At 43.4% G+C, this 7,086-nt stretch overlaps 1 pseudogene; it reads left to right on the top strand.

The window, feature by feature from the left end:
* Positions 1,981 to 2,547, top strand: HMGN2P21 (high mobility group nucleosomal binding domain 2 pseudogene 21; annotated as a pseudogene).

The following is a 7,086-nucleotide window of genomic DNA, read 5'->3' on the forward strand; positions in this document are numbered from 1 at the left end:
CCTAAAGCACATGGACCCTCGTGCCTCCCAAGAGAAGCCAAGGCATCCTTACTCTTCCGTGACTCTCATTGGGGCCTGGGACTCTCACTGGGGATGGGGAGGTCCTTGGAGTTGGTTGCCTAAGCTGCAGCAGGAATTGCTGGCTGGCAAGGTGGAAAAATTTATAACTGGCTCTTATAAGTGAGAACAATACACAAAAGAGAGGGTCCTTCTGAGAGGCATGGTGGAGGCACACAGGAAGGGTTGGTCCCAGGCCCAAATTCATGTGTCAGAGCAGTGAATGCTGTGTGTATCTAGTGCATGAAAAGGGCTGGGCATTTGTTGGTAGACATCAAAATTACTGACTAAGCAAGTGTAGATTTTCCTCTAAACCAGTGACATCCCTCATCCTCAAAATGCTGTTACATCTTCCTCCAGAATGTGAGAAACTTCTCCCTGCCCCTGGAAAACCAGGTCTGAGAGTCATTTCGTAACAACTGTAATGTCTATAGCTTCTCCTACTTATGCTAGAGTCAGGCTGTCCCCTAAAGCACAATGAGTGGGACCCCAGACTCCACGGTGAGCCTCATGCCCGGAAAGACTAAAAATCTCTGGGAGAGAAGGCTGTGGGCACCTGAGTGTCAACATCATACCCTGTGTGGTGGCAGTTGTCTGTCACAGCCTGCTAGTGCCACCAAAACAACCCAAGGTCACAGAGAGTGGCAGCTGTACAGAGTTCCCACAGTGGAGGCAGGGCGGGCAGGCCCTCCAGTGAGACAAGCCGGCCACGTCCCCCAGGTCACCCGACAACTGCACTCTGTCTCCCCAGATGGTTCCAGTCAGTCTATGGAGAACTTCATTCCTCTGCCTCTCTCTTGAGGAAACTGCAGCTTTCGGAACCTCCCCTGAAGGAGAGAAGGGGGCAGCGGGGACATGAGAATTGACCCTGAGGAGTTGGCAGGAGGGAGTCCTTCCTGTTTACCCGCCCCAGTCCAGCCACTTCTTTGTTACCTTTAGACGGCAGGGCAAGGTTGGCTGGATTGATTATGACAGCTCCTTGCTGCTCCACACCATCACCTCTCCACAGGACTCCTTCCTGGGGTTGTGAGAAGGGGCTGAATGTACTAACTACCTCTGCTCCCTGCTAGAATGCTAGCCTCATGAGGGCTGGGATTTTTGTCTGTTTGGTTCACTGTTGAACCCCTAAAATCTAGAAGAGTGCTTGGTACATAGTAGAGGTGCAATGAACATTCCTTGAAGGAATAATTATTGATATAAAGTAAAATTCCCGAAGTAGATTTCATAGTTAATTGATCTTGGTGGCTGGGCTTGTAATCCCTGCACTTTGGGAGGCTGAGGTGTGCAGCTCACTTGAGGTCAGGAGTTCGAGACCAGCCTGGCCAACATGGAGAAACCTTGTCTCTACTAAAAATGCAAAAATTAGCCAGGCATAGTACATGCCTGTAATCCCAGCTATTCAGGAGGCTGAGGCAGGAGAATCGCTTGAACCCAGGAGGCAGAGATTGCAGTGAGCCGAGATCATACCACTGCACTCCAGCCTGGGTGACAGAGAAAGACTCCATCTCAAAAACAAACAAACAAACAAACAAAACAACAACAACAAAACAATAGTTATTGGATCTTGGGCCAGGCACAGGGACTCATGCCTGTAATCCCAGCATTTTGGGAGGCCAAGGCAAGAGGATTGCTTGAGCCCAGGAGTTTGAGACCAGCCTAGGCAACATGGTGAGACCTCATCTCTACAAAAAATAAATAAAATTAGCCAGGTGTGGTGGCATGCGCCTGTGGTCCTAGCAACTTGGGAGGCTGAGGTGGGAGGATCACCTAGACTGAGAGGTCAAGGCTGCAGTGAGTCAAGATCTCACCACTGCACTCCAACCTGGTTGACAGAGCAAGACCCAGTCTCAAAAAACAGTGGGGGTTGGTTGGGTGGAGTTAGTTATGAATCTTTAGACATTAAACAAAGTAACTGAAATGGAAGAAGAAGAGGCGAGAATGACCCCCCGACCGATCAAAGCCTGTGCGCCGCTGCATCCCGGGCCCAGCATCTAAGTCCCACTGCTGTCACCGCCGCCACCTTGCCCAAGAGGAAGACCGAAGGGGATGTTAAAGGAGATAAAGCCAAGGTGGACACACCTCAGAGAAGATCCACAAGGTTGTCTGCTAAACCTGCTCCTCCAAAGCCAGAGCCCAAGCCTAAAAAGGCCCCTGCAAAGAAGGGAGAGAAGGTACCTAAAGGGAAAAAGGGAAAAGCTGATGCTGGCAAGGAGGGGAATTACCCTGCAGAAAAAGGAGATGCCATAACAGACCAGGCCAGGGAAGCTGAAGGTGATGGAGAGGCCAAGTGAAGTGTGTGCATTTTTGATAACTGTGTACTTCTGGTGACTGTACAGTTTGAAATACTATTTTTTATCAAGTTTTATAAAAATGCAGAATTTTGTTTTACTTTGTTTTTTAAAGCTATTATGTTGTTAGCACACAGAACACTTCGTTGTTTTTTCTGGGGGAAGGGCTATATGTCACTAATAGAATGTCTCCAAAGCTGGAGTGATGTGAGGAAAACACCTTTCCCTTCTAGTTTTGGGAGACTTCCTCTTGGCTCCCGGGAGGAGGGATTCCCTGACTTTGATACACATGAGTACCTTGGCACTAAAGCTTTGTGTTTGGAAAAAGCAATTCATTTTTATGTCCTCTTCTCCCTTTCTATCTTTCAGCATAGACTTAACTCTCTTAAGCCCAGACATCTGTTGGGACCTCATCCCCAGTCATTGGTTACCAGTGTGTCAGGCAATCTGGACTTTCCAGTGGTGCCACTGAGATGGCACCTGTCTAAAGAGCAGTGGTTCCGTTCCTAGACTGTGGATCTTCAGATACATTCTGCCATTTTCATTTCACTTCCTGAAAGTCAGGGTCACCTCGTGAAAAGTTGTTAAACAACATGCTAAATGTGAAATGTCAACCCTCACTCTAAACTTCCCCTGTTCAGAGCATCAGATGAAGACTTCATTGGGTTTTATAGTGGCTTTCTGATTTTTGGCAGTCCACTGAAGAAGGGAGTTTGAAAGTTGTTGCATACTGTTAACAATTGTCTTCCATGTCCTGCCTGAAATACCATGATTGTTTATGGAAAGTATCTTTAATAAAGCTGGATACAGTTCGGCTTGGAAAAAAATGTAACTGAAATATATATATAATATATATATAATATATAGGTATATAAATAAAGGCTCTTAAAAATAAGAGGAAAATGTGACAAAATGATAAACATCATGAGAGAGTTTTAAAAAATCCTCTCAGAGAAACTGATTGATTGAGTAGACAAAACATAAATGAGAATGTAAAATGTTTGCATAATGAAAATTATAAGCTTAATCTAATAAATACACCTATAGAACATTTATAAAGAGTGAGCATATACTAGGCCACAAAGAGAATCTCAGGAAATTCCAAAAAAGTAGGCCATGTTATTTTTATTATTATTATTATATTTTATTATACTTTAAGTTCTAGGGTACATGTGCACAACATGCAGTTTTGTTACATAGCTATACATGTGCCATGTTGGTTTGCTGCACCCATCAACTTGTCATTTACATTAGGTATTTCTCCTAATGCTATCCGTCCCCCAGCTCCCCACCCCCCAACAGGCCCTGGTGTGTGATGTTCCCGCCCTGTGTCCATGTGTTCTCATTGTTCAACTCCCATCTATGAGTGAGAACATGCGGTGTTTGGTATTCTGTCTTTGGGTTAGTTTGCTTAGAATGAAGAATTCCAGCTTCATCCATGTCCCTGCAAAGGACATAAACTTATCCTTTTTTATGGCTGTATAGTATTCCATGGTATATATGTGCCACATTTTCTTTTTTTTTTTCAAAAGCGTTCTCACTCTGTCGCCCAGGCTGGAGTGCAGTGGCGCGATCTCGGCTCATTGCAAGCTCCGCCTCCCGGGTTCACGCCATTCTCCTGCCTCAGCCTCCTGAGTAGCTGGGACTACAGGCGCCCGCCACCACGCCCGGCTAAATTTTTTGTATTTTTTTTAGTAGAGACGGAGTTTAACCGTGTTAGCCAGGATGATCTCGATCTCCTGACCTCGTGATCCACCCGCGTCAGCCTCCCAAACTGCTGGGATTGAGGCGTGAGCCACTGCGCCTGGCCATGCCACATTTTCTTAATAAAGTCTATCATTGATGGACATTTGGGTTGGTTCCAAGTCTTTGCTATTGTGAGTAGTGAAAGTAGGCCATGTTACTTAATACTGCTTCCTGATGACACAAAGCTAGGAAAACCCTAAAATGAAGAATAGAAAAACATACAAAGAAAAATATATATACATACAAACATTTGTATGTATAATTGACCCATGAGCAACCTAAGTGTGAATAGCATGGTCCACTTATATGTGGATTTTTTTCAATAAATATTTTGAAAAAATTTTTGGAGATTGCCACAATATAAAAAAAATTGCAGATGAACCAGGTAGCCTAGAATTTTTTTTTCTGAGATGGAATCTTGCTCTGTTGCCCGGGCTGGAGTGCAGTGGCATGATCTTGGCTCACTGCAGCCTCTGCCACTCCAGGTTCAAGCAATTCTCATGCCTCAGCTTCCCAAGTAGCTGGGATTACGGGCATGAACCACCACCCCTGGCTAATTTTTTTATTTTTATTTTTAGTAGAGATGAAGTTTTGCCATGTTGGTCAGGCTGGTTTCAAACTCCTGACCTCAGATGGCCCGACCGCCTTGGCATCCCAAAGTGCTGGGATTACAGGCATGAGCCACCACACCCGGCCGAAATAATTTTTAAAAAATAAGACAAAGTTAGGTCTGTCATAAATGCATAAAATATATGTAGATGCTAAATCAATTTTATCATTCACTAACATAAAATATATACAAATCTATTATAAAAAATTAACATTTATCAAAACATATGCACACAAACACAGACCGTACACGGTGCCATTTGCAGTTAAGAGAAATGTAAACAAACTTAAAGATGCAATATTAAAAGAAAACTGCATAAATTAGCTGTGGTACATACTGTACTATTGTAATAATTTTGCAGTCACCTCCTGTTGCTACCACGGTGAGCTCAAGTGTTTAAGTATCCACTTAAGACACTACGTGATGCTAATCGTCTCCCATAAGCAGTTCCTCACTCCAGTAAATTGCATATGGCAGTAAAAACTGATTTAGTTCTCATGTATTTTTCATTTTCAGTGCAATATCATAAACCTTGAATAACATCATGGGTTCCATATGAGATGGCACTAGTGAGTCTGGAAGCACTCCCAAAAAGCAGAGAAAAGTCCTGACATTACCAAAAAAAGTTGAATTGCTTGATATGTGCCATTTATAAAGGTCTGCAGCTGTGGTTGTCTGCCATCCCAAGACAATTGAGTCTTGCAAAGGACAATTGTAAAATAAAGAAAAGGATATTTGTGAAACCATCACTGTAGCTACACCAGCAGGCACAAAAACCTTGCACTTTTTGCAAAATATCTTTTTAATCTCTTATTGAAAAATGCAGTTTTTATGTGGGTGCAGGATTGCTATAAGAAAGGCATACCTGCAGACTTGAACACCATTTGAGAAAAAGCAAAATCCGTTAATGACAACTCAAAGCAAAAGGAAGGTAAAGAATCTAAAGCAGGAGAATGTATTGCCAGCAAACGATGGTTTGATAGTTTCAGAAAGAGGTGTGGCTTTTAAAATGTCCACATGACAGGAGAAGCAGCTTCTGTCAATCAAGAGGCGGTAGACAAGTTTCTGGAAAATCATTCAAGAGAAACGGTATCTTCTTAAACAGGTTTTTTTTTGTTGTTTTTGTTTTGTTTCGTTTTCTGGGTTTTTAAATTTTTTTTTTTTTTTGAGACAGGGTGTCACTCTGTCACCCAGGCTGGAGTGCAGTGGCGTAATCTTGGCTCACTGCATTCTCCACCTCCCAGATTCAAGTGATTCTCATGCCTCAGCCTCCCAAGTAGCTGGGATTACAGGCACAGCCACCACACCCTGCTAATTTTTGTATTTTTTGTAGAGATGAGATTTCGCCATTTTGCCCAGGCTAGTCTCGAACCCTTGAGCTCAAGCAGTCCACCTGCCTCGGCCTCCTAAAGTACTGGGATTACAGGCATCAGCCACTGTGCCCAGCCTGAACAGGCTTTTAATGTAAATGAAAGTGCCCTATTCTGAGGGGGAAAAATGCCACAAAGGACATTTGTTAGTAAAGAAGAAAAGCAAACACCGGAATTTAAAGCAAAAAGGGATAGACTAACTCTACTGTTTTGTCCAAATACAGTTGGGTTTATATGATCAGGACTGCCCTTATCTGTAAAGCTGGTAACCCCTGATCCTTGAAGGGGAAAGGTAAACACCAGCTGCCAGTCTTTTGGTTGTACAACAAGATACGCATCCATTGATGCTTTATCCCAAAGTCAGGAAGTACCTTGCCAATAAGGACTGCCTTTTAAAGTTCTTTTGAGGCCAGGCATGGTGGCTCTTGCCTATCATCCCACACTTTGGGATGCTGAGTAGGAGGAGGGCTTGAAGCCAGAGGTTTGAGACCATCCTGGGAAACAAAGGATGAAACCCCCATCTCTACAAAATTTTAAAAATTAGCTGGGTGCAGTGGCATGAACCTGTAGTCCCAGTTATTCGGGAGGCTGAGGTGGGAGGATCACTTGAGCCCAGGAGTTCAAGGCTGCAGTGAGCTATAATCATGCCACTGCACTGCAGCCTGGGCAACAGAGTGAGACCTTGCCTCTAAAAAATAATTAATTAAAAAATATTTTTTAAAGTCGCTTATGATTTTCTGCTCTACAACGTGTGTAAAACAGCCTTGTTAACTGCGGAATAAGCGACCTTATCACATCTCCTGAATAGAAACTAGGAGCACATCTGATCTGATGCATTTTAATATTGCCTTCATTTTTTGAAAAGATTAATTCAACACTTCTGTGCTGGGACTAAGCAAAGTCAGTCAAAATGTGCCCTTCACTCTTCTTTCCACTGTACTCCAGCCTGGAAGACAGAGCAAGACCCTGTCTCTAAAAAAAATTTTTTTGTATTTTGTTAAAAAGAAAAAAATAG

The sequence above is a fragment of the Homo sapiens genome, chromosome 2, assembly GCF_000001405.40.
Source record: "Homo sapiens chromosome 2, GRCh38.p14 Primary Assembly".
Classification (NCBI taxonomy): Eukaryota; Metazoa; Chordata; class Mammalia; order Primates; family Hominidae; genus Homo; species Homo sapiens.